The following is a 23,577-nucleotide window of genomic DNA, read 5'->3' on the forward strand; positions in this document are numbered from 1 at the left end:
AGAACTGCTTGAACCCAGGAGGTGGACGTTGCAGTGAGCTGAGATCACGCCACTGCACTCCAGCCTGGGGGACACAGCAAGACTCAGTCTCAAAAAAAAAAAAAAAGAAAAAAAAGAAAAACATTTTAGCCCAATAGCAAACATGAGTGAGAAGCGTATGTAGGCTTCCTCCAGGGATCTGCGTTGGCTAATTATTAATTGCATCTTTCCTTTTTAAGATGTTGTCTTTGTGTTTGTTTGTTTGCTTGCTTGTTTAGAGACAGGGTCTTGCCATGTTGCCCAGGCTGGTCTTGAACTGGGCTCAAGCGATCCTCCTGCCTCGACCTCCCAGTGTTTGGATTACAGGTGTGAGCCACCGTGCCTGGCCTTTTTTGCTTTTGATTAGCACAACCATTTTTCACTAGTGAGACCTTAAAATAATATTTTACACTAATGTAAATATTTTGTAAGAAACAAGTCAAATATTACCCCTGGTAAAATTGCTTAAGGTCGTGTCTGTGTGAAGAGAGAGAGGGAGAGAGAGATTGAGATTCCTGGCACACAGTTGGAATCTCAGTTAAAGTTAGCTTCCCTGTGAACCTGGTATCTATACAACAAAGAGGGGTGCATCTCTCAGAACCCCAGAAGACATACAATTGTGCACTGCAGCTCTATTCGTTATTGTCAAAATCTGGAAACCGACCAAATATTCATGGACGAACAAGAAAAGCTAAGTACGGTACGATTCCATTTGCATGAAGTATAAAAAGACGCAAAACTAATCTCTGGTGATAAGAGAGACTAGCAGTTACTTGTGGGGGAAGGGAGTGGGCGTTGACTGGGAGGGGGCCACAGCGGGGAACCTCTGGGGAGCTGGAAATGGTCTAGGTCTTGAACTCAAACCATGGCAGGAACATTTACACCACAGAAATTATCAAACACAAATCAACCCCCGGCTCCCCACCGTCGCCAATGGAGCCGAGGCTTAAGACATTTGCAAATTTACCACCGATTTCTAGAAATGTAAATAGTGGAGTTCATTTAAGATTTGTGCGCTTTGGTGTGGACGTTTTACCCTAGTAAACGTTAAACACTGGCAGTAGGCTTTCCATAGACTACCTGTCACCAGCTTTCCTTTGCCAGTCTTCAACCTGCGGCTCCAGGGGCACCCGCCGCACTCCACCGACTCCCATCCACCGCTCACCATCCACCGATTCCCATCTCTTCATTCTCTGCACCAGGTGCCCTCAGACATCACTGGGCGCCCTAGGGCATCTCAAAGCCATGTTTGGAACTCCTGCAGGAAGCCCTCCCTCCTCCTCCTCCTTCCTTCCATCCAGGGGTCTTCTCGGGGCTTATCCCTTCAAGGCCTAACCTTGACCCACCCTATCTACGCAACATTGATTCCCACCCCTACCCTATTCCCCAGAACCTTCAGCAGTGCCTAGCGCAGCTAGGACTCAATCATCGCTTGTCCACTTAATGAATGACTCTTGGCACAAATTTCCTCGTCCTTTTCTGCCCCAGACAGACACCCCACAAACATGAAGTTACCCTTGATTTTTCCACTTTCTTCCTCCTGCCTGCAAATTCCTCAATCACAGGTGGTGCAAATCCTACCTCTAAATGGTACTGAATCTGCCTACTTTCGGGGCAACCTCCCTTACCTGGACCACAACTGCACCAGCCTCCTTTCTCCCTCAGGAGCTTCCCAATCCATTATCTCCCCTGCGGCCAGAGATCAGTTTCCTCCTGGGGTGCATTTAAGCCATAGGAAGCAGATCGCTACCCTAGGCCCGTCCCTCCCCACCCCTTGGTCTGGACACCCTCTGGGCTCATCTTAGGCCGCAGTCGCCGAAGCCTTCCTCCTCCGGTTGGACCCCCAACCAGGTCAGGCTGTCATAGCGTTTATCATGACGCTGGCGTGTCGCCCTGTGTCCCTCGGCCGTCTGCAGGATGGCAAACTTATGGCCAGGGCCCAGCACATTTGGGCACCCAACACATCCGTTAGAATGAACAGAAACTTCCCCTCTCCGAGCCTGTGGCCTCATCTGTAAAACAGAGATCGCGAGATCCCATGAATACCGTGGGGATTGAATAAGGGATTTTTTCGTTTCAAGCAGCAGGAACAGCGCGGGATGGGTGCTCAATAAATGGGAGCTCAAAAAATCCCCAAAACTGCCCAGAGCCGCGGCTATTCCTTGCAAACTGCTGGACACTGCTGGGCTCAGCCCACAAGTGTCGGAGTTTGCATCAGATTTTCAGGTCGTACTTAGCAAAGGGACTCCCGCACGACAAAGCTGTTTACGAAACAGAAACCAGAACTGGGGCAGTGACACTTTGGGGCCAGCAATGCCCTCTCCCAAAGCCCCAGGCGCCCAATTTCCGCCGAAATGCTTTCCGGGGTCGAAGGGCGCCGGGGCTCCAGAGTGCCGAGGTTCCGGGGTCGCGCGATTCCGCAGCTCCCAGGCGCCGACCCGGACCCCCGGCCGCGGCACCTACGCCCCGCCCCAGTCGCTCCACGCCAAAGCCCATTGGTCGGCAACCTGTCCCTCCTGCTCATGTGATGCGGCACGTGACGCAGCCACGTAAGGCCGCTGCGCTCACGTGACGCGGTCCCGGAAGTTGACCGGGGTGCGGAGCTCCTGGGCTGCAGCTCCTGGAGTTTCCGAGGTTCGTGCGCGTCTGGTGGCGGCGGCGTGATGTTCTCGGCAGGAGCGGAGAGTTTGCTCCACCAGGCCAGGTACGGGGGAGCTGCGGCCCCGGCCCTCCTTCCTGCATCTCTCCCTAGGGGCACACGGGGGTGGGTCTCACAGGGCAGGGGCTTGGGCGCCAGCCTTGCAGGAACCCGACTGGACTCGCCCTCGAGACTTGGGGATCGGGTAAGGCAACACGGCGGCCAGGCTTGGGGTGAGGAGGTCGGGGAGGGTCATGGTGGGTCCCCGGAGGAGGTGACACTTGAGCAGAGTCTTGGTGAGTGAAAGCAAGTGGGGTGGGACCCAGTCGACAGTTTAGTCAAAGGCTTGGCGGTGAGAACTCCGCGTCTGGCAGGAAATCGGGCAGCCGGGAGATTTCAGTGCCTCACAGTCAAGAACGCAAAGTCACAGTGTCCGGAGGCCTGCTAAGGAATAAGGCTGTGTGCCAGGCTGGGGAGCTGGAGGCCATCCGAGGGCTTTGCGGAACCGTGGGAGGGTTTTGTGACTTAAAAAGATCTCTCTTGCGCGGATGTATTAGCTAGGCTGAGAAATCACCCTCCAGGCTGGTTTCAGGCTGTGTCTGGACTCCCAGTAACGAGTGAGTAGCTCCTTCCTCACCAACTAACCAGTCATGGGGGAAAACAGTGTAAGCCAGGACTGAACAGACTCACGGTCCACCAAACAGGCAAAGACTTCATACTACATGTTTAAAAGAAGAAAATGCTGACCGGGCGTGGTGGCTCACGCCTGTAATCCCACCACTTTGGGAGGCCAAGGCAGGCGGATCACCTGAGGTCAGGAGTTCGAGACCAGCGTGCCCAACATGAGGAAACCACGTCTCTACTGAAAATACAAAAAAAAAAAAAAAAAAAAAAATTAGCCGGGCGTGGTGGTGGGTGACTGTAATCCCAGCTACTCGGGAGGCTGAGGCAGGAGGATTGCTTGAACCTGTGAGGTGGAGGTTACAGTGAGCTGAGATGGCGCCACTGCACTCCAGGCTGGGGGACAGAGCGAAACTCCGTCTCAAAAGAAAAAAGAAAAAAAGTAAAGAAAATACAGCCAGCACTACAGCCCCTTGGTAAACGTAAACAAACTTGGTGAGGTGAGAGGCCGAAGCAGGAGAAGTGCATGAACCCAGGAGGCCGAGGGTGCAGTGAGCCAAGATCGCACCACTGGACTCCAGTCTGGGTGACAGAACGAGACTCCATGTCAAAACAAACAAGCAAACCTGGACTCAGAGCTAGACCAATTGGTGGGAAAGATTCGGGTGGTTGAAATTGCTGTGATTATAGTGAGTGAGGTCTTGAAGGCAGGTTAAGTTCTAAAGCCCGAACAGGACAAAAATCTCTGATCAAAATAACCCTTAAGAGTCCACTCATTAGGAAGAGGCTTGGTGAATATGCAGCACCATCTCCCAGCAGCTCAACATAGGCAACCTTCCCTTCAATCCTGGACAGATATGTCATTCATGTGAATGTGGGGACTATATGAAAATGAAAAATACTGGCATCTCAGCATGTAACATGTTAATCCCAAGGTCCTTGCCAAGAGACAAGGAAAAACACCCACTGAGAACTTCATTCCCAGTCACATTCTGCTCAAGGTCATAAACTTGTGACATGAAAAACAAAAGGAAGAGCCCTCTTTATTTATTTATTTATTTATTTATTTATTTATTTTTATTAGAGTCTCTTTTGAGACAGAGTCTCCCTCTGTCGCCCAGGCTGGAGTACAATGGCGCAATCTCAGTTCACTGCAACCTCCGCCTCCTGGGTTCAAGCAATTCTCCTGCCTCAGCCTCCCAAGTAGCTGGGATTACAGGCGCCCGCCACCACACCCGGCTGATTTTTTGTATCTTTAGTAGAGATGGGATTTCACCACATTGTCCAGGCTGGTCTCGAATTCCTGACCTCAGGTGATCCGCCTGACTCGGCCCCTCGAAGTGCCGGGATTACAGGTGTGAGCCACCATACCCGGCTGAGCCCTCACTATTTAAATACCTGTTTCTCTGCCTCCCTGGCTCGGGTGGGCAGCCGTTTTTGAGGATAGAGTGTGGTTGAATTTCCCTATGTAACATACATGAGTTCTGCAGTTGCCCTCTGTTAGGGTTTCAAGAAGGTTAATCTATTAGGGCTTACCAGTTTTCACAATATTCTTAAGCCTGTGATTTCTGATGATATTTTAAAATAAATGACTGTAGTTTGAGGGTTAAGGTTTGGAGCCGGCCAGGCGCAGTGACTGGCCCACGCCTGTAATCCGAACACTTCGGGAGGCCGAGTTAGGAGGATCGCTTGAGGCTAGGACTTTGAGACCAGCCTGGACAACATAGCGAGACCCGTCTCTACAAAACAGAATTTTTAAAAAACTTAGCCAGGTGTGGTGGCACGTACCCATAGTCACAGCTACTCAGGAGGCTGAGGCAGGAGGATCACTTGAGCCAAGGAGGTTGAGGCTGCGGTAAGCTATGATGGTGCCACTGCACTCCAGCTCGGGTGACAGAGGGAGACCCTGTCTCCAAAGAAAGCCAAAAAGATTTGGAGTGAACTTTAGTTTCTCTCTAAATGTGTCAGAGATACGGAAAGCAAGGGTGCAAAAAGTGATCAAAGATAGCGCTGCAAGCTGAAGGATAAATGGAGAGAGCGGGAAGCGAGTAAAGGATGGGGGCATGGAGGGGTGCCCCGCAAGGTCGGGGATTTCCAGGAGGAAGAGCCTCAGCCCACTAGCTCGGGAGCTAGTGGGGCATGTATCAGGCACAGGGTCTGTGCGAAGGGACAGAAGCAAAAGAAACAGGACATGGAGTCTGGAGAAGGAAGGCGGGGCCGGGCTCTTGGAGGCAGCGTTGGGGTCTGTAGGAGTTTGGATTTGAAAGCAGTGGGGAGCTGTTGAAGGGTTTGGGTGGGTTGGATTTTAGAGAGAAGCTTGAGACTTGGAGAATATGCTGAAGGGAATTTAATCGGGATGAGGGGTTCCACCTTTCTGGGAAAGATTTTCCATTGTGTGTATATATGTATATGTGTGTATATATAATTTATATATAACATTTTATATATTATATATTACATATATATTTAGTAATATATAATATAATTATATGTTATATATTATATGTTATATTATATATCATTATATATAATATATAATGATATATAATATTTTATATATAATCAAAAAAAGAATAAAAAAAATTCACTGGGCTTAGTGTAGTCCCAGCTACTTGAAAGGCTGAGGTGGGAGAACTGCTTGAGCTAGAAGATCAGGCTGCAGTGAGCTGAGATTATGCCACTGCACTCCAGCCTGGGTGACAGCATAAGACTCTATCTCAAAAAATATATATATAGATAGATAGATAGATATAAAAATATATTTTTATATGTAATATATATAAAATATATATTATATACATTTTTGAGATAGAGCATATTATATATTATATATAACATATATAACAACTATATAACATATATAACATAACATATATAACAACATAATATATAGCATATATTATGTATAACATATATTAGATATAACATATATAACATTAGAAATAATGTATATAACATAACATAACGTATATAACGCATATAACAACATATATAACGTATATAACATAACACGTTATATATGATATATAACATATAACATGTTATATATCATAACGTGTTATATGTCATATAACATGATTATTATATATCATATATAACATGATAACATATATATCATATATAACATATATAACATTATATATAACATATATATTATATTATATATATATATTTTTTTTTGAAGTAGAGTCTTACTCTGTCACCCAGGCTGGAGTGCAGTGGCACAATCTCAGCTCACTGCAGCCTGATCTTCCAGCTCAAGCAGTTCTCCCACCTCAGCCTTTCAAGTGGCTGGGACTACACCATGCCCAGTGAATTTTTTTTATTTTTATTTTTTTTTGTTTTTGAGACGGAGTTTTGCTCTCGTTGCCCAAGCTGGGGTGCAATGGCATGATCTCAGCTCACTGCAACCTCCTCCTCCCGGGTTCAAGTGATTCTCCTGCCTCAGCCTCCTGAGTAGCTGGGATTACAGGCTTGTGCCACCACGCCCAGCTATTTTTTTTTGTATTTTTAGTAGAAACGGGGTTTCTCCATGTTAGCCAGCTGGTCTTGAACTCCTGACCTCAGGTGATCAGCCCGCCTCGGCCTCCCAAAATGCTAGGATTACAGGTGTGAGCCACCGTGCGTGGCCGAATTTTTTTTATTCTTTTGTAGAGATGGGGTCTCACTGTTTTGCCCAGGATGGTCTCAGACATCTGCACTCAACTCATCCTCCCACCTCAGCGTCCCAAAGTGCTGGGATTACAGGTGGCCTGGGGAGGGCACAGCCACGTAGGGGGCCCTTCTCAGGGAGTCCCCAGAGTCCCCTGGCACAGCAACCCCTTTGCGCATTATTGGTTCTTTCTTTTAGACTGGGATAGAAACCTAAAAACAGGCTTCCATTTGGGACTTTTCAGTATCTTACCTGTGGCTTACTAGGGAGATTTTAAAATTAAGCCAATTAGTTATTCGAGTAAAAAAACATAATGGGCTTACCTTACAATATGTCATGACATTTGTTCTTTAATATATAAGATTTTATTCTCAGGCCAGGCGTGGTGGCTCACGCTTGTCATCCCAGCACTTTGGGAGGCCGAGGTGGGCAGATCATGAGGTCAGGAGTTTTGAGACCAGCCTGGCCAACATGGTGAAACCCCGTCTCTACTAAAAATGCAAAAATTAGCCGGGCGTAGGCCAGGCGCGGTGGCTCACGCCTGTAATCCCAGCACTTTGGGAGGCCGAGGTGGGCAGATCACGATGTCAGGAGATCAAGACCATCCTGGCCAACATGGTGAAACCCTGTCTTTACTAAAAAATACAAAAAAATTAGCCGGGCGTGGTGGTGGGTGCCTGTAATCCCATCTACTCGGAAGACTGAGGCAGGAGAATTGCTTGAACCCCGGAGGCGAAGGTTGCAGTGAGCCGAGATCATGACACTATATTCCAGCCCGGGTGACAGAGCAAGACTCCATCTCGGGGAAAAAAAAAATTTATTCTTGTTTCCATAAGCAAAAGGCTCATTGAAGACATCTTTTGAAAGGCACCTTATTCTAGAGTAAATTTCCTACTCTTGAATGAGACCCCTAAAAAGAATCGGTTTTAGTCCTTCTGCCCTGGGAACAAGAAAATCTAAGTGCATGGGGCCTCCGTGAGTGAGATTCGTCATAGTGCGCTGCAGCGATGGATCGGGAAATCCCAGGGTGAGAGGAACCAGCTCAGGGAATCAGCGAATTTATCTCGAGAGCCATGAGCCGTGGAACCGTGTTCCTCCACACACTCGGCTTCTCTTTTCTAAAGAGGGATTTTCCCTGCTCCAAGGGTTATCCTTTTTTTGGTTCCGAGCAGCGAGTGCTTCTGGGTCCTGAAGTCCTCTTCTTTGTTTAGGGAGATCCAGGACGAGGAGCTGAAGAAGTTCTGTTCCCGGATCTGTAAACTGCTGCAGGCGGAGGACTTGGGGCCGGACACCCTCGACTCCCTGCAGAGGCTCTTCCTCATCATCTCAGCCACGAAGTACAGCCGGAGGTGAGTGTGGCGACGGCTCAGGCCGGCTCCTCACACAGCGGCCCCAGGAGAACCCAGCCCACGCCCAGCAGGTCACTGCAGATGCTCCTTGGGGGTTGAGTCATTTGTCCACTTAAACCAGTGCTGAAGGTCCATCCTCATGTAAAATGCTCTGTCCACTGGCCCAAGGGTGCCCGGCCAGGTGCTCTGGGGCACCGGGTGCTCCTGCCACGGTCGTGACGTGTTACCGCCCACCACGGGCATCTCGCCTTCCAGGCTGGAGAAGACATGCGTAGACCTGCTGCAGGCCACCCTCGGCCTGCCTGCATGCCCCGAGCAGCTCCAGGTGCTTTGCGCCGCCATCCTGCGAGAGATGTCCCCCTCTGACAGCCTCAGCCTGGCCTGGGACCACACGCAGAACAGCCGGCAGCTGAGCCTGGTGGCCTCCGTTCTCTTGGCCCAGGTAGCGCAGCAGTCACCACCCCAGTTGGCACCGGATGGCTGCTTCCCAAGGAACAGGGGAGACAGGAAGCAGGGGCGCCAGAGCCGGCAGGTGGCTGCTTGTTGTAGACGCATCTCGGTGCTGAGTGCCTGGCACACTTGAGGCTGGGGCATGCCCTGTTGACTGGAACGGGGTCCCATGCCCAGCAGGCCCACGTGGTATGTTGGTGCTCAGGAGAGGTGGTGGAGTTTGGTTTCTCAGACAGAGCCTTGAGACAGCGAGTCAGTGGAGGCTGGGCCTCCAGACCTTCTTTTTGGGGTTTTTGTTTTGTTTTTTAGAAACAGGGTCTCACTCTGCTGTCCAGTGTAGAGTGCCATGGAGTGATCAATGCTCACTGCAGCCTCGACCTCCCTGGCTCAAGCAATCCTCCCATCTCAGCCTCCTGAGTAGCTGGGATTACAGGCATGCATCACCACACCCAGTTAATGTTTGTATTTTTTTGTAGGGACCTGGGGTCTCACTATGTTGCCCAGGCTGGTCTCAAACTTCTGGGCTCAAGCAATCCACCCTCCTTGGCCAGGAGTTTTTGCCAAGTCCATGTCCTCCCTCCCTCTGTGTCGGGAGCAGGCCTGGGCACTCAGCGTGGGGATCCAGGGGTTCACAGGCTGCCTTTGTGTGAGAGAAGCTGCTATCTCTGCTCATGGGTTGCCCAGGGGTGCAGAGTCTGCAGGAAGGTTGCGATGGAGCTGGGCTTTTCCCTCCGTTCCCAGCCTGCAGCGTCATGAGTTGCCTCCTGTGCTGGGGTGCAGCCTGCGGTTGCTTTAGTTCTGTGTGGGCGAGAGCTTGTGGGCCCCGGCGTACTCAGGGCGTTGTACTTCATCACTGGGGTCATCCTGGTTGGTGCCCAGCCCCCTCACCTCACAGACCTCCTGCAGGCCACCTCCAGGCCTCCGAGATGACCCCGGTAATGCTGTGGTAGCTCCTGGCCTTTGGAACAAGATGACTCCGGCTCTTCTTGTTTGTTTCACCCGCCCTTCTCCTCAAGCAACTCATTTTTTTCAGTGGAAGATGATCTTGCAGAACTGCTGCCAGGCGCCAGCGGTGCACCCCCCGCCCGGCACGTGGCCTCCCAGCCACCCAGCCGCCCTCCTCCCTGCCCTGACGGCCCTGCCCCTGTGCTGGGTGTCTCTGGTGCTGCTCAGATGTTTCAGCACCTGGGTGTGCAGAGTGAGGTGGGTGGTTTAAAGACTGGGATCCACACTGGAGGCCCCGCAGGACGGGGTGTCCTGTGTCTGCGGCCAGGGCCATGGTGGCCGCCAGTGTGTTTTTAGCATTGAATCAGCCGTGCCCTCACCCAGGCCCCCTCCAGCCTCAGCGATGCAGCTCCCAGGGAGAGAGGCTGGAGGCGGAGCAGGCACCTTGTGGCCCGGGGTGGGCCTGCGCGGGACATCCTCCCTGCCACCTGCTAGGCCGGGGTCTCAGCGACCGACGCTTCTCAGGAGTGTCACACAGACTTCCGAAATGGGGGAGCTGGTCTCTGGCACAGGCCAGTACCCCAGCGTTTGCCCTGTTTGATTTGAAGGGTGACAGAAACGAGGAGGTCAGAGCCGTGGGCCAGGGCGTGCTACGAGCGCTGGAGAGCCGGCAGCCTGAGGGACCCAGCCTCAGACACCTCCTCCCCGTCATGGCCAAGGTCGTGGTCCTCAGCCCGGGCACCCTCCAGGAGGGTACGCGGGGCCCCTCCCAAGAGGCTGTTGGGGGTCTGCCTTCCCAGGTCCTTCCCTGAGGGCCCATGGTGGGTTGGGAGTGTGGGGGGCAGGTGGGGGACACGGGGAGGCCCGAGGGTTTGGGACGCTGCAGGATTCTGTTTTCTGAGAAAAGTCGGCCAGCATCCCAACAACCCAGGCATCTGTAGGATTCAACCTCACCTCCCCATGCCACCCCACCCACTGCAGACCAGGCCACCCTGCTCAGCAAGCGGCTGGTCGACTGGCTGCGCTACGCCAGCCTCCAGCAAGGGCTCCCACACTCCGGCGGCTTCTTCTCCACGCCCAGGGCCCGGCAGGTGAGGCTGGGACTGTTCTGGAACCATGGGGAACAGAGTCACAGACAACCCCTCCCTGAGAGCTCCTGTGCCCACAGCGGCGAGGCCTGCTGTCGTTCCGCGGGGTCCAGGACGAGCCTGCCTCTGCTGCGGGGCTTGGGTCAGGCAGGGCCACAGCCCCCTGACCCGTGTGGCTCTGGGGGTCTGTGCGCGGGTTCAGTCCCAGGGCCTGCGGAGCAGGGTGTGCGACGCGCGTCTGCCTGGGGGTCAGGTGGGGATGGTGTTTTTGCATCACACAGGGCGGGCCGCTGCCCGGGCTCATGTTCAGGCAGCTTCTCCTCCACCTCCTGAGGAGCTTGTGCTAAAGGCTGGCGTTTTTCCCGGCCTCGGCCCCCTCCGCCCACTCCTGCCTGTCCTTCCCACAGCCGGGCCCCGTCACCGAGGTGGACGGGGCGGTAGCCACAGACTTCTTCACGGTGCTCTCCAGCGGCCACCGCTTCACAGACGACCAGTGGCTGAACGTGCAGGCCTTCTCTATGCTGCGGGCGTGGCTGCTGCACAGCGGCCCCGAGGGCCCGGGCACCCTGGACACAGGTGTGCGGGGTGGGGGGATGACGTCAGACAGGGGTGGGAGGTGGGCGCACTATGGGTTGGTCGCAGGGGGACACGGGCGGAGGTGGGGGGACTCGGGTGTGCCCAGGATGCAGCAGAGGTCAGGACTGAGCAACGCAGCCTGCTGACCTGGAGCTAGGCGGAGAGCACTCCCTGGCCAGCATCTTTGGGGTCCAGGGTCAGCACCGGGGATCCTCTGGACACCCCGTGACCCTCATGCAATGTGCAGATGTGAGAGCTCCCACTTAAGGCAGGCACCCTTAAGGTTGTTGGAGTGACGCCACTGAGCTCCTCCCGGCTGCTCTGTGGACTTGTTGGGGAAGAAGCCTCAGCCACCCTGAAGGGCGGCCGTGATGGGGAAGCTGCCGGGTGGGTGGACGTCCTGAGACGGTGACGCCTCACGCCTCCCGGGAGGGGCTGCGGCCTGTGCTCTCCTCCTGCCCTTCCAAGCAGGGCAGCAGGCATGTCCCAGCCCGGGAGCCACACGTCAGCCTGCTGAGAGTTCCCACCTCCCGCAGATGACAGGTCAGAGCAGGAGGGCTCCACTCTGTCGGTGATCTCCGCCACCTCCTCTGCCGGCCGCCTGCTGCCGCCCCGGGAGCGGCTTCGGGAGGTGGCCTTCGAGTACTGCCAGCGCCTCATTGAGCAAAGTAACCGACGTGAGTCCCCCACCCAGGGCACTGGCCTCCCCAGGGCTCGACGCACCTGCTCTGCAAGGCCACCTGAGGCCAGCACAGCTTCCCTGAGCTACTGCTCCACAGAGGGGGTCCCTGGGTAGCCGGTTTGGAGCAGGGGCATTTTTGCTTCTGGGGTCAGCCCCAAGTGTTCTTCAGGCTCCACCCCAGCCCCCAGCCCGGCCCTGTCCCACCTGGGCCCCTCGCCTCAGTCCCACTCAAGTCCTCCTGGGGGCCTGTCCCACCCCCCTGCTCCCGGTCCTGCCTGGAGCTTCCAGAGCACAAGCTGCCCCCTCATTGGGCCACTCTAAGGCTGAGACAGAGCCGGCTGACTTTTTCCCCTCCTTCCAGGAGCCCTGAGGAAGGGGGACTCCGACCTGCAGAAAGCTGTAAGTGGCTGGGGACCAGGGGATGGGAGGCAGCGACTCGGCCCATTTGATGTGGTCCATGTCCCGCAGTGCCTGGTGGAGGCCGTGCTGGTGCTGGACGTGCTGTGCCGGCAGGACCCGTCCTTCCTGTACCGAAGTCTCTCCTGCCTGAAGGCCCTGCACGGGCGGGTGCGCGGGGACCCGGCCTCTGTGCGGGTGCTGCTGCCCCTCGCCCACTTCTTCCTGAGCCACGGTGAGCCCAGGGTGGGGTGGCGCTGACTCGGGGCTCTGCTTCTGCCTTTAGTTTTAGGATGGAATTTCTTCTTCCCTTTTTTTTTTTTTTTTTTTTGATTGAATAGAGACAGGGGTCTTGCTGTGTTGCCCAGGCTGGTCTGGAACTCGTGGCCTCAAGCGATCCTCCTGCCTTGGCCTCCCAAAGTGCTGGGATTACGGGCATGAGCCACCGTGCCCAGCTCATATTTCTTTTTGATGGATTGCTGTGCCAGATGTTGGTAATTTTTAAACTTTTAAATAGAGAAATAAACAGACTCTTTTTGCTGTGTCCCTAGCCCAGGAAACCTGAAAGTCTAGGAACCAGCACCTTCCAAAGAATGTGCCATAGTGTGTGTGACTCACGAGCTGTCCGTGTCCCTGGGCGAGGGAGACCAAGTGCCGCTTCCCCAGCGTCCCAGCGTAGGACGCCTCGGAGCCCTTGGTGTCCTGGAGAGCAGGCCTGAGACTCAGGGCCCCTAACCAGTCACAGAAGCACGGCCAGGGCGAGGTCAAGACGTGTGCCCTGGCGGGCCCTGGTCTTGCAGGGGAAGCGGCTGCAGTGGACTCGGAAGCCGTCTACCAGCACCTGTTCACCAGGATCCCGGTGGAGCAGTTCCACAGCCCCATGCTGGCCTTTGAATTCATCCAGTTCTGCAGGGACAACCTCCACCTGTTCAGCGGGCACCTCAGCACCCTCAGATTGAGCTTCCCCAACCTCTTTAAGGTATATTTGGGCATCCCTGGGTGCCAGGGCAGGGGCATGGTAAGTCCCTGGGGCTCCTCCCCTCTTTCCAGCGGGGTTCAGGGCGAGTCCTGGCTGAGCATAGAGCCCTGTGAGTCCCGGGCCTGGAATGCGGTGTGCAGGGTGAGGTGGGGATCTGGGGTGTCCCTGCAGCGTCACGTGATTGACGGTGCTGTCCAAGAACTCCCTTGTGGGTGTTTTGGAGAGGGGGCTGTGACACAAGACGGTGAGTTTGTTCTCACAGCACTGGGGCAGGGCTGCTGCCTGGTAGGATCCCTCCCCCGGGAGCCCTGCCTGGTGCCTTGGGCACTTGGGTGCCATTTGCCTTTTTTTTTTCTTTTGAGATGGAGTCTCATTCCTGTCACCTAGGCTGGAGTGCAGTGGCGCAATCTCAGCTCACTGCAACCCCCGCCTCCTGGGTTCAAGCGATTCTCCTGCGTCAGCCACCTGAGTAGTTGAGATTACAGGCACCCACCACCATGTCCAGCTAATTTTTGGTATTTTTAGTAGAGATGGGGTTTCGACATGTTGGCCAGGCTGGTCTCGAACTCCTGACCTCAGATGATCCTCCTGCCTTGACCTCCCAAAGTGCTGGGATTACAGGCATGAGCCACCGCACCCGGCCTGGTGCCATTTGCTTTTGAAGTGTCTTTTGCAGCCTCGCCTCGCTGTAAGGTCTTTTCAACTGAGGTGGGGAATCCTCTTTCTGGAGAAAAACCAGGACAGTGGAAAATTATTGACCTGTTGGTACGAAAGTAGATACAGGCTGGGGGCAGTGGCTCACACCTGTAATCCCAGCACCTCGGGAGGCCAAGGCAGGAGGATCTTGAGGCCAGGAGTTCAAGACCAGCCTGGGCAACACAGGGAGACCTCTTGTCTACAAAAAGTAAACAGCCTCACATGGTGGTGTGTGCCTGTAGTCTCAGCTGCTCAGGAGGCTGAGGTGGGAGGATCACTTGAGCCTGGGAGGTTGAGGTTGCAGTGAGCTATGATTGCACCACTGCACTCCAGCCTGGGCGACAGAGCAAGACCCTGTCTCAAAAAAATAAAAAGCGGGAGGAGGCAAAGGTAGAAGCCCTCCTGGGGACTGCAGGTCTGGGACAGCTGTGGGGCCCTAGCTGGCTCCTCCCTCTGCCGCCTGCTCCACAGCTCCGAGCCGTGTCCGAACCGCTGTGCTGTGCCCACAGTTCCTGGCCTGGAACAGCCCACCCCTCACCTCCGAGTTTGTGGCGCTCCTCCCGGCCCTGGTGGACGCTGGCACAGCCCTGGAGATGCTGCACGCGCTGCTGGACCTGCCCTGCTTGACGGCGGTGCTGGACCTGCAGCTCAGGTGGGCCCCTCACCCTCTGCCAGCGCTGCGTCTCCCAGCCAGCTGGTTCCACACACTGGGCCCCCTCCTCGCTGCTCCTGACCCCTACACCGGGGACCCTCCTTCTTCCCCCCCCAACACCTGACCAGTCCTCCCCTGCAAAGCCACCTCTAGGACAGGGTGTGTCTGTCACCCTTGGCCACTTGCCAAGGGCAGCCCCTGCACCCTGGAGTGCCTCACCCGTCTTCACGCCCAGGCCTGGAGCCTCCCATGCCAAGCCCTTCCTGGCACCCGAGGTGCTGTGATATTAGGGACACCTGCCGTGTGTCTCCCTGACGGGGGTGCCCTTGAGTGCAGGGGCCGCATCCCAGCCTGGCCTTGGGCGTCTGTCCACGCAGGTCAGCACCGGCTGCATCCGAGAGGCCACTCTGGGACACCTCTCTCAGGGCCCCCAGCTGCCTGGAGGCCTTCCGGGACCCGCAGTTCCAGGGTCTTTTCCAATACCTGCTGCGCCCCAAGGCCAGTGGCGCCACTGAGAGGTACGGGGCCCTAGGGCCAGGGGGCCACCAGTGGCTCAGAGAGCCCGGCCACAGCCACTGGGGTGGGGCTCACTGCTCAGCCCTAGGCTGAGGCCAGGGTGCTTTGTGTCCCACACAAGGCTGCGTCCCCGTCATCACCATTATAGAGGCCCTGCTTCTGCACCACGGGTCTGCCGGGGGCGGGGCCTGGTCTCAGCTCTCTCTGCTGCCCACATCAACCCTCATAAGCTTGGAGGTTGGCCCTGTGGGTGCTCCATTTTGCAGATGGACAAACCGAGCCTGAGCCCAGGAAGCAGGAGGCCTGGGACCGGCCACAGGCCTCCTGCCCTCAGCCCACGCCAGCCTTTGTCCCGATGGCTTTACTGTCCCGGGTGTGCTGACGCCAGGGGTCTCCCCAAACCCAGGGGAGCAGGAGGTCCCGAGAGGCGATGAGTGAGGATGGGAGCGGGCTCAGCTGTGCGAGAGGGAGCAGTGGCGACGTGGCCCCGGCCTGCAGTCACCAGGTCGGGGAGCGGGCAGCACTCACGGCCACACTGTGTCCTCAGGTTGGCGCCACTCCACCAGCTGCTGCAGCCCATGGCCGGCTGTGCCCGCGTGGCCCAGTGTGCCCAGGCCGTGCCCACGCTGCTGCAGGCATTCTTCTCAGCAGTGACCCAGGTGAGCTCGCTGCCTGGGGCCCCCCATTCCCACAGGCCTCACAACTGAGGGGCAGGCCAGAGCCAGCACTGGGGGGCCCTCTTGAGCTCTGCAGAAGGCTGCTCCCGCCACACCCACCATCCACGGTCCCTGTGAGGGTCAGGGAGGCACATGCCACAGCCCCGGCAGGCCCCGTCCCTTGTCCCATCCCCTTTATTCCAGCAGGCCCCGTTCCCCAGTCCCCGTCCCATCCCCTTCATCCCGGCAGGCCACGTCCCCCAATCCCCGTCCCATCCCCTTCATCCCGGCAGGTCCTGTCTCCCATCCCAGCAGGCTCCATCCAACTGCCCCAGCAGGCCCTGTCTTCCGTCCCCAGGACAGGGCAAGTGAGTGGCCTGGGCTCTGGCCACACAGCTGGGGCCGGAGCAGTTTGTCCCCCTGCTGCCCCTGATAATTCAGCATCCCCATCTGAGGCCAAAATAAAGGCTCCCACAGGCTGGTGCCCCCCATCTCCCCCATTGCTGCTTCCCACCTCGGGGAGCTCTACAAGCCAGTGCAGGAGAGCCTGGGAGGTGGGGAGGCCGGCAGGGGGCTGGGCGTTGCTTGGGCGCACCCTTGGCCAAACAAGACGTGTGCCTGGCCTTGCAGAGCGGGAGTTGGCAGAGGAGCCGTGGAACAGAAGCGACACCTCTGCCGGGGGCACTTGGGCCAGCCCAGGGCTTCCCTCCCTGTGCCCGGATGCTGCCAGCTGAGTCTCTGTGTCCCTGGGTGTTGGGGAAGGCAGTGGACGAGGAGTCTCCAGCCCCTCACCTGCCCCCCAGCCCTCACCATGGCTTCACCCCCAACCTTAGGGCCTGCAGTGGGGGTGGGGCTGAGCCTGTTTCCCACTCCTGACCCCCAGGTGGCTGACGGGTCCCTGATCAACCAGCTGGCGCTGCTGCTCCTGGGCAGGAGCGACTCGCTCTACCCGGCCCCAGGGTACGCTGCCGGTGTGCACAGGTAGGTCCCTCCTGCGCTCCTGCCACAGCCCTGGGCGGGTGCCTCCTGGACTCCTCCCCCTCTCCCCTCCCCCCTCCCCTTCAGTGGCTTCGGCACCACCCCTAGCTGGGCCCTCAGCAGCCTCAGACCCTGCCACCCCCACCCACAGCCCCACACCCAGCCCCAGGCACTTCTCTCTGCTTCTCAAGAACATTCCCGTCCTTCTTTCTGCCGAGCCTGTCCTCTTCAGGGTTAGCTCAGGTCCCTCTTCCCCGTCTTGTCCCCTGGGGTCCTTCTCTCCAAAGGCCTGATGCATGCAGGCCCATCCTGGTTCCACTCTGAGCCTGGGCCTGAGGCCAGCGCTGGTGCCAGCCTTCTCCCCAGTGAGAACAGTTTCTCTGAGGCTGGCAGTCTTCTGTGTTCCTCTATCGGAGGGTGCAGCATACACCTACCACTCAGACGCTTCCCGGGTTTCTCCAGGCCCTTGGCCTGGATGGGGATGGGGTCATAGGTCTGCACAGAGCAGGCGTAGACCCGGCTTTCTGGGCAGTGTGCTGAGTTCTCAGTTCCTGGCCCTGTGTACGCTGAAACCCTCCCTGGTGGTGGAGCTGGCAAGAGACCTGCTGGAGTTCCTGGGCAGCGTGAATGGTCTCTGCAGCAGGGCGAGCCTCGTCACCAGCGTGGTAAGGCGGGCGCTGGCCTCCCACAGCCGCTCCTGACCCAGGAGGCCTGGGTGGGGGCTGAATCTCTGTCCCCGGGCCTAGGTGTGGGCCATCGGCGAGTACCTGTCGGTGACCTACGATCGGAGGTGCACCGTGGAGCAGATCAACAAGTTCTTCGAAGCCCTGGAGGCTCTGCTATTCGAGGTCACCCAGTGCCGCCCCTCTGCTGCCCTGCCCAGGTGTCCCCCCCAGGTGGTCACCGTGCTGATGACCACGCTGACGAAGCTGGCCTCCCGGAGCCAAGATCTGATCCCCAGGTGCCTGGTCAGGGAGGGAGCGAAGCCTTCTGGCTCCTGGGGAAGAGAGGTGGCTTCTGAGGTCTTCCCATCCAGGTGTTGTGAAATGGTCGCAGCAGCGCAGGTCCTGGGTGGGCCCTGCTGAGCTAAAGCCACTCTGCTGGGCGCTTCAGGCCTGGCCCCTCCACACAGACCCCTGTCCTGGGAGGGGAGCATCTGCAGCTGACGGAGGGACCTTCTTTCCCCAGGGCCTCTTTATTGCTGTCAAAGATGAGGACCCTGGCTCACAGTCCAGCCACCAGCTCCACGCACAGCGAGGAGGGCGCGGAAGCCATCCGTACCCGGGCCACAGAGCTGCTGACCCTGCTGAAGATGCCTAGCGTGGCCCAGTTTGTGCTCACACCCAGCACGGAGGTGTGCAGCCCCCGCTATCACCGCGATGCCAACACGGCCCTGCCCCTGGCCCTGCGCACGGTCAGCCGGCTGGTGGAGAGGGAGGCCGGCCTCATGCCAGGGTGAAGGGACAGTGGCCAGGGACTTCGGTGCAGATTAAGAGCCTGGGCAGCCAGCTTGCTACTGAGGCCAGGCTGATAGGAGCTCAGGAGGGCGCGGGAGTCCTGGGAGAGGAGGCAAGGCCCACGGTGGGCTTGGCACCCTCACAGACACGCGGGGCTGGCCCCCCTGCTCACCCTCTGGGCTTTGTCTCCGAGCCTTTTGCTCCCAGGCAACACTGAGCTGAGCTGAGGGGTGCCATGGAGCGGCTCTGATTGGAGGCTTGAGGCCCTGTGGCTGGGTCGGGTGGAGGCTGCTGGGTCTGTTTCCTAGTCTTTTGTTTTTGGACAGTTGATGGGCAAGAAGAGCTGCAGTAAAAGTAAATCTCCTTTAATAAGCGTCTGTATGAAGAGTGCGCGATCAGTTCCGTTACCTGCCCTGCACCCTGGGGAGAGGACCAGGGATGGGAACCCCTGGCAGCTGCTGCCAGTCCTGGAGGCTCAGCCCGGCGTGCCACTGCTGCTACAGAAACCAGGTCATTTGTGCACAGCCCGGAAGGCAGCGGCGCGAGTTCCCGGGTGTGGTCACCGCTCTGGGTGGTGCGCTTGTCAATGCCCCTTTTGATGCCCTTGAATAGCCTGAAGATGAAGGGGACCGGGGGAGGGTTGCAAGCGCCATGGCCTATGCAGGCTGCGGCCTCTGGCCATTCGGAGGGAAGGCCCCAGGGAGCCACCTGAGTGGAGCTCAGAACACTGGATTCGCGCGAAGGGGAGGTGTCTGGGCGTGCGGCCCCAGCCCCGCCACCTTCCTGGGCCCTGTGGTCCCACCCTCCGGACTACCAAGGCACAGCTGTGTCGCACGTTCCGCCCGGTGCCTGGGACGGGCTCAGCCGCCAGGGGGCGCCGCCGCCCCGAGAGCCTCACGCCCCGCCCCCAGGCTCAAACTCTTCCCCCTCCCCACTCTGGCTCCGCCCCCGGTCTCCTCTTTTGCTCTGGCCCCGCCCACCTCCCCTCCGGCCTCGGCCCCGCCCCCAATCCCCCATAGCTCTGCGACTAAGAAACCACAGGCTGAAGGCGACTGCAGGGTCCTGCCCCTTGCCCAGCCTCAGGACTATGGAGGGGGCGAGTGACGCGCAAGGAACGGAGCAGGGGACACCGTGCGGGCTCAGGAGCTCCCCAGATGCCCGAGCCGAACCGCGGGGTCCTCACCGCCAGGTTCCAGCCCAGGAAGCGCTCGCCTGCCCCACAGCCTGGGCCTTGGGTCGCGTTCCGAGCTCCAGGACGGCTGGTGTCCCCCGCGGCCTGCGATGACAGCCCAGGGCCGCTGAGCCGGGGCCGCAGGAAAGGCTGGCGCTGGCAGGCGCTTCCGTCGGCAGCACTGTGTTTGTGTTTCCACGTGGAAACAGCAGCGCACGTGTACAACTGTGCATACCAAGGCGTGCGTGCCAGTGCGCGGGTCTCGGGATCACTTCCCAGTGCGGTGCACGACCCCGCCTGCAGCAGTGGGTGTGGGGGCGCTGCTGGGCTCATCCCGAAGCTCAGAGAGCGTGGGGCTGCCCCTAGGCTCGGAATGAGTCTCCCACTGAGTCCGCAGCTCCCCTCCTGCCCTGGGGCGGGGCTTCCCTGACCTGAAGGCGTCGGGGGTGTCCTGGCTCCCAGCTCCCAGGCACTCGTGGGGCCACCGCCCAGGCCAGCTGGTGCTAAGTCCGCAGCCTGTGCAGCAGCGCCCGGCTTAGGACTGGGAGTGTGACTTGAAGGGCCGTCCCGCTCATCCAAGGGACAAGGAGGAGCTCATGGCCACAGGGCCTCGGAGGGCATGACCCCAGCCCAGGGAGGAGCAACCTTCAGGTGGCCTCCAGGAGGCAGCTGGGAAAAGGGCAAAGCTCACCAGCTCTCAACTTTTTTTTTAAATAAACTGAAATTTTAGAATAGTTTTTCAGATTTACAGAAAAGATGATAAACCTTAGAAACATTATATGCTAAGTGAAAGTGAGAAGTGACAGCCTGCTGGCAGTCCTCACAGCCCTCGCTCGCTCTTGGCGCCTCCTCTGCCTGGGCTCCCACTTTGGCAGCACTTGAGGAGCCCTTCAGCCCGCCACTGCACTGTGGGAGCCCCTTTCAGGGCTGGCCAAGGCCGGAGCCGGCTCCCTCAGCTTGCGGGGAGGTGTGGAGGGAGAGGCGCGGTGGGAACCAGGGCTGCACGCGGTGCTTGCGGGCCAGCGCGAGTTCCGGGTGGGCGTGGGCTCTGTGGGCCCCGCACTCGGAGCCGCCGGCTAGCCCCGCCAGCCTGGGCAGTGAGGGGCTTAGCACCTGGACCAGCAGCTGCTGTGCTCGATTTCTCACTGGGCCTTAGCTGCCTTCCTGCGGGGCAGGGCTGGGGACCTGCAGCCCGCCATGCCTGAGCCTCCCCCCTCCCCTCCGTGGGTTCCTGCGCAGTCCGAGCCTCCCCAACGAGTGTTGCCACCTGCTCAGGGCACCCAGTCCCATCGACCACCCAAGGGCTGAGGAGTGCCTTTGGAGCAGGGCACGGGACTGGCAGGCAGCTCTACCTGCAGCCCCTGTGCAGGATCCACTGGGTGAAAGCCAGCTGGGCTCCTGAGTCTGGTGGGGACTTGGAGAACCTTTATGTCTAGCTAAGGGATTGTAAATAAACCAATTGGCACTCTGTATCTAGCTCAAGGTTTGTAAACACACCAATCAGCACCTTGTGTCTAGCTCAGGGTTTGTGAATGCACCAATAGACACTCTGTATCTAGCTACTCTGGTGGGGACTTGGAAAACCTTTTTGTCAACACTCTGTATCTAGTTAATCTGGTGGGGACATGGAGAACCTTTGTGTCTAGCTCAGGGATTGTAAACGCACCAATCAGCACCCTGTCAAAACAGACCACTCGGCTCTACCAGTCAGCAGGATGTGGGTGGGGCCAGATGAGAATAAAAGCAGGCTGCCCGAGCCAGCAGTGACAACCCACTCGGGTCCCCTTCCACACCGGGATGCTTTGTTTGTTCGCTCTTTGCAATAAATCTTGCTGCTGCTCACTCTTTGGGTCCACACTGCCTTTATGAGCTATAACACTCATCGCAAAGATCTGCAGCTTCACTCCTAAAGCCAGCAAGACCACGAACCCACTGGGAGGAACGAACAACTCCAGACGCGCCGCCTTAAGAGCTGTAACACTCACCGCGAAGGTCTGCAGCTTCACTCCTGAGCCAGCGAGACCACGAACCCACCAAAAGGAAGAAACTCCGAACACATCCGAACATCATAAAGAACAAACTGCGGACACGCAGCCTTTAAGAACTGTAACACTCACCGCGAGGGTCCGCGACTTCATTCTTGAGGTCAGTGAGACCAAGAACCCACCAATTCCGGACACAAAAGAATCCAGACCCAAGGCCACATACTGCATGACTCAGGTCAGAGGCGTGGGAGCCACAGCAACCGCGTCTTAAATAGGGGCTGGGTAAAAACGAGGCTGAGACCTGCGGGGCTGCATTCCCAGGAGGACAGGCATTCTTAGTCACGGGATGAGACAGGAGGTCAGCACAAGGTACAGGTTCAAGATGCGGGTCCCAAAGACACTCCTGATAAAATAGGATGCTGTAGAGAAGCTGGCCAAAACCAAGACAGCAACGACAGTGATCTCTAGTCATCCTTGCTGCTCGTTAGTTGCTAATTATAATTCATTAGCATTCTAAAAGACACTCCCACCAGCGCAGTGACAGTTTCCAAATGCCACGGTAACGTCAGGAAGTTACCTATGTAGTCTAAAAAGGGGAAGGACCCTCAGTTCCAGGAAATCTTCATCCCTTTCCTAGAAAACTCATGAATAATCCGCCCCTTGTTTAGCATGTAATCAAGAAATAACTCTAAATATACTCACTAGCGCTCATGCTGCTGCTCTGCCTTTGGAGTGGCCATTTTTTTTTTTTTTTTTGAGACAGAGTCTTGCCCTGTTGCCCAGGCTGGAGTGCAATGATGCAATCTCGGCTCACTGCAACCTCCACCTCCTGGTTTCAAGCAATTCTCCGGCCTCAGCCTCCTGAGTAGCTGGGATTACAGGTGTGTGCCACCACCCCCAGCTAATTTTATTATTTATTTATTTTTTTTTTTTTTGAGACAGAGTCTTGCTCTGTTACCCAGGCTGGATGGAATACAATGGCACAATCTCAGCTCACTGCAACCTCCGCCTCCCAGGTTCAAGTGATTCTCCTGACTCAGCCTCCTGAGTAGCTGGGATTACAGGCGCTTGCTACCATTCCCAGCTAATTTTTCTATTTTTAGTAGAGACGGGGTTTCACCATGTTGGCCAGGATGGTCTCAAACTCCTGACCTCAGGTGGTCAGGCCTTGGCCTCCCACAGTGCTGGGATTACAGGCGTGAGCCAACGCGTCTGTCCCACCCAGTTAATTTTTGTATTTTTAGTAGAGATGGGGTTTCACCATGTTGGTCAGGCTGGTCTCGAACTCCTGAGCTCAGGTGATCCACCCACCTCAGTCTCCCAATATGCTTGAATTATAGGCATGAGCCGCTGCGCCTGTTTCTTTTCTTTCTTTTTTTTTTTTTTGAGGCAGAGTCTTGCTCTATTGCCCAGGCTGGAGTGCAATGGCGCGATCTCGGCTCACTGCAAGCTCCGCCTCCCAGGTTCACACCATTCTGCCTCAGCCTCCCAAGTAGCTGGGACTACAGGTGCCCACCACCACGCCCGGCTAATTTTTTGCATTTTTAGTAGAGACGGGGTTTCACCGTGTTAGCCAGGATGGTCTCGATCTCCTGACCTCGTGATCTGCCCGCCTCGGCCTCCCAAAGTGCTGGGATTACAGGCGTGAGCCACCGTGCCCGGCCTGTTTCTTTACTTTCTTAATAAACTTGCTTTCACTTTATGGACTTGCCCTGAATTTTCCCTTGCTCGAGGTTCAAGAACCTTCTCTTGGGGTCTGGATCAGGACCCCTTTCTGATAACACTTACATGAAATATCCACAAGAGGTGTAGACAGAGGCAGAAAGTGGGTTTGTGGTTGCCAGGGCCTAGGGGCAGAAGGGAATGGGGAGAGCCTGCTTAGTGGCCGTGTTTTCCCCGTTGGAGGTGACCAAACTAGACAGTGGTGATGGTTGCATAACACTGTGAACGTGCTGCTTGCCATTGAATTATACACTTTAAATAGCTAACTCTATGTGAATTCCACTTTAACTTAAAAAGTGGTGACAACTGAATATGTACAAAGCGTAACTGCTATATTAATAGTAACAAGT

The 23,577-nt window shown here is 56.7% G+C and overlaps 1 protein-coding gene and 1 non-coding gene across 5 annotated transcripts, besides 11 other annotated features; one reads left to right on the top strand and one right to left on the bottom strand.

The window, feature by feature from the left end:
- Nucleotides 1,331-2,007: an enhancer, noted in NCBI's record as "H3K27ac-H3K4me1 hESC enhancer chr7:4813996-4814672 (GRCh37/hg19 assembly coordinates)". NCBI's record gives its function as "activates a minimal SCP1, AML or CMV promoter by ChIP-STARR-seq in primed H9 embryonic stem cells {active_cell/tissue: H9 hESC(primed)}" and the evidence as "EXISTENCE:reporter gene assay evidence [ECO:0000049][PMID:30033119]".
- Nucleotides 2,008-2,684: an enhancer, noted in NCBI's record as "H3K27ac-H3K4me1 hESC enhancer chr7:4814673-4815349 (GRCh37/hg19 assembly coordinates)". NCBI's record gives its function as "activates a minimal SCP1, AML or CMV promoter by ChIP-STARR-seq in primed H9 embryonic stem cells {active_cell/tissue: H9 hESC(primed)}" and the evidence as "EXISTENCE:reporter gene assay evidence [ECO:0000049][PMID:30033119]".
- Nucleotides 2,058-2,107: an enhancer, noted in NCBI's record as "active region_25563". NCBI's record gives its function as "activates an Ori minimal core promoter by ATAC-STARR-seq in GM12878 lymphoblastoid cells {active_cell/tissue: GM12878}" and the evidence as "EXISTENCE:reporter gene assay evidence [ECO:0000049][PMID:35858748]".
- Nucleotides 2,148-2,237: an enhancer, noted in NCBI's record as "active region_25564". NCBI's record gives its function as "activates an Ori minimal core promoter by ATAC-STARR-seq in GM12878 lymphoblastoid cells {active_cell/tissue: GM12878}" and the evidence as "EXISTENCE:reporter gene assay evidence [ECO:0000049][PMID:35858748]".
- Nucleotides 2,418-2,547: a silencer, noted in NCBI's record as "silent region_17902". NCBI's record gives its function as "represses an Ori minimal core promoter by ATAC-STARR-seq in GM12878 lymphoblastoid cells {active_cell/tissue: GM12878}" and the evidence as "EXISTENCE:reporter gene assay evidence [ECO:0000049][PMID:35858748]".
- On the top strand, nt 2,589-21,363 carry AP5Z1 (adaptor related protein complex 5 subunit zeta 1). Of its 4 annotated transcripts, none has more exons than NR_157345.1 (17): nt 2,589-2,722; nt 8,141-8,278; nt 8,534-8,720; nt 10,282-10,426; nt 10,655-10,764; nt 11,169-11,337; nt 11,874-12,014; nt 12,381-12,418; nt 12,488-12,650; nt 13,216-13,394; nt 14,562-14,742; nt 15,120-15,260; nt 15,806-15,917; nt 16,798-16,895; nt 17,425-17,557; nt 17,639-17,853; nt 18,081-21,363. NR_157345.1 is itself a non-coding variant. In NM_014855.3 (17 exons), the coding sequence occupies exons 1-17, from the start codon at nt 2,682-2,684 to the stop codon at nt 18,349-18,351; spliced, it is 2,424 nt and encodes an 807-aa protein (NP_055670.1). In that variant the 5' UTR covers nt 2,589-2,681; the 3' UTR covers nt 18,352-21,363. The 4 variants fall into 4 exon arrangements, 3 of the variants coding, with proteins under 3 accessions (NP_055670.1, NP_001351787.1, XP_047277054.1); NM_014855.3 differs by having other exon boundaries at nt 14,600-14,742; NM_001364858.1 differs by lacking the exon at nt 8,534-8,720 and having other exon boundaries at nt 14,600-14,742.
- Nucleotides 2,668-2,737: an enhancer, noted in NCBI's record as "active region_25565". NCBI's record gives its function as "activates an Ori minimal core promoter by ATAC-STARR-seq in GM12878 lymphoblastoid cells {active_cell/tissue: GM12878}" and the evidence as "EXISTENCE:reporter gene assay evidence [ECO:0000049][PMID:35858748]".
- Nucleotides 3,078-3,137: an enhancer, noted in NCBI's record as "active region_25566". NCBI's record gives its function as "activates an Ori minimal core promoter by ATAC-STARR-seq in GM12878 lymphoblastoid cells {active_cell/tissue: GM12878}" and the evidence as "EXISTENCE:reporter gene assay evidence [ECO:0000049][PMID:35858748]".
- Nucleotides 3,158-3,267: an enhancer, noted in NCBI's record as "active region_25567". NCBI's record gives its function as "activates an Ori minimal core promoter by ATAC-STARR-seq in GM12878 lymphoblastoid cells {active_cell/tissue: GM12878}" and the evidence as "EXISTENCE:reporter gene assay evidence [ECO:0000049][PMID:35858748]".
- Nucleotides 15,531-15,605, bottom strand: MIR4656 (microRNA 4656). The gene has a single exon (NR_039800.1). It is a non-coding gene; the product is annotated as a microRNA 4656 (primary transcript).
- Nucleotides 19,200-19,319: a silencer, noted in NCBI's record as "silent region_17903". NCBI's record gives its function as "represses an Ori minimal core promoter by ATAC-STARR-seq in GM12878 lymphoblastoid cells {active_cell/tissue: GM12878}" and the evidence as "EXISTENCE:reporter gene assay evidence [ECO:0000049][PMID:35858748]".
- Nucleotides 19,710-19,789: an enhancer, noted in NCBI's record as "active region_25568". NCBI's record gives its function as "activates an Ori minimal core promoter by ATAC-STARR-seq in GM12878 lymphoblastoid cells {active_cell/tissue: GM12878}" and the evidence as "EXISTENCE:reporter gene assay evidence [ECO:0000049][PMID:35858748]".
- Nucleotides 19,894-20,568: an enhancer, noted in NCBI's record as "H3K27ac-H3K4me1 hESC enhancer chr7:4832559-4833233 (GRCh37/hg19 assembly coordinates)". NCBI's record gives its function as "activates a minimal SCP1, AML or CMV promoter by ChIP-STARR-seq in naive H9 embryonic stem cells {active_cell/tissue: H9 hESC(naive)}" and the evidence as "EXISTENCE:reporter gene assay evidence [ECO:0000049][PMID:30033119]".

The sequence above is a fragment of the Homo sapiens genome, chromosome 7 (genome assembly GCF_000001405.40).
Source record: "Homo sapiens chromosome 7, GRCh38.p14 Primary Assembly".
Lineage (NCBI taxonomy): Eukaryota > Metazoa > Chordata > Mammalia > Primates > Hominidae > Homo > Homo sapiens.

Coding starts and splice junctions, on each gene's coding strand:
- AP5Z1 (NM_014855.3), top strand. CDS start 2,682: ATGTTCTCGGCAGGAGCGGAGAGTTTGCTCCACCAGGCCAG. Junction 10,427..10,654: donor CCCGGGCACCCTCCAGGAGG/GTACGCGGGGCC, acceptor CACCCACTGCAG/ACCAGGCCACCCTGCTCAGC. Junction 12,419..12,487: donor ACTCCGACCTGCAGAAAGCT/GTAAGTGGCTGG, acceptor CATGTCCCGCAG/TGCCTGGTGGAGGCCGTGCT.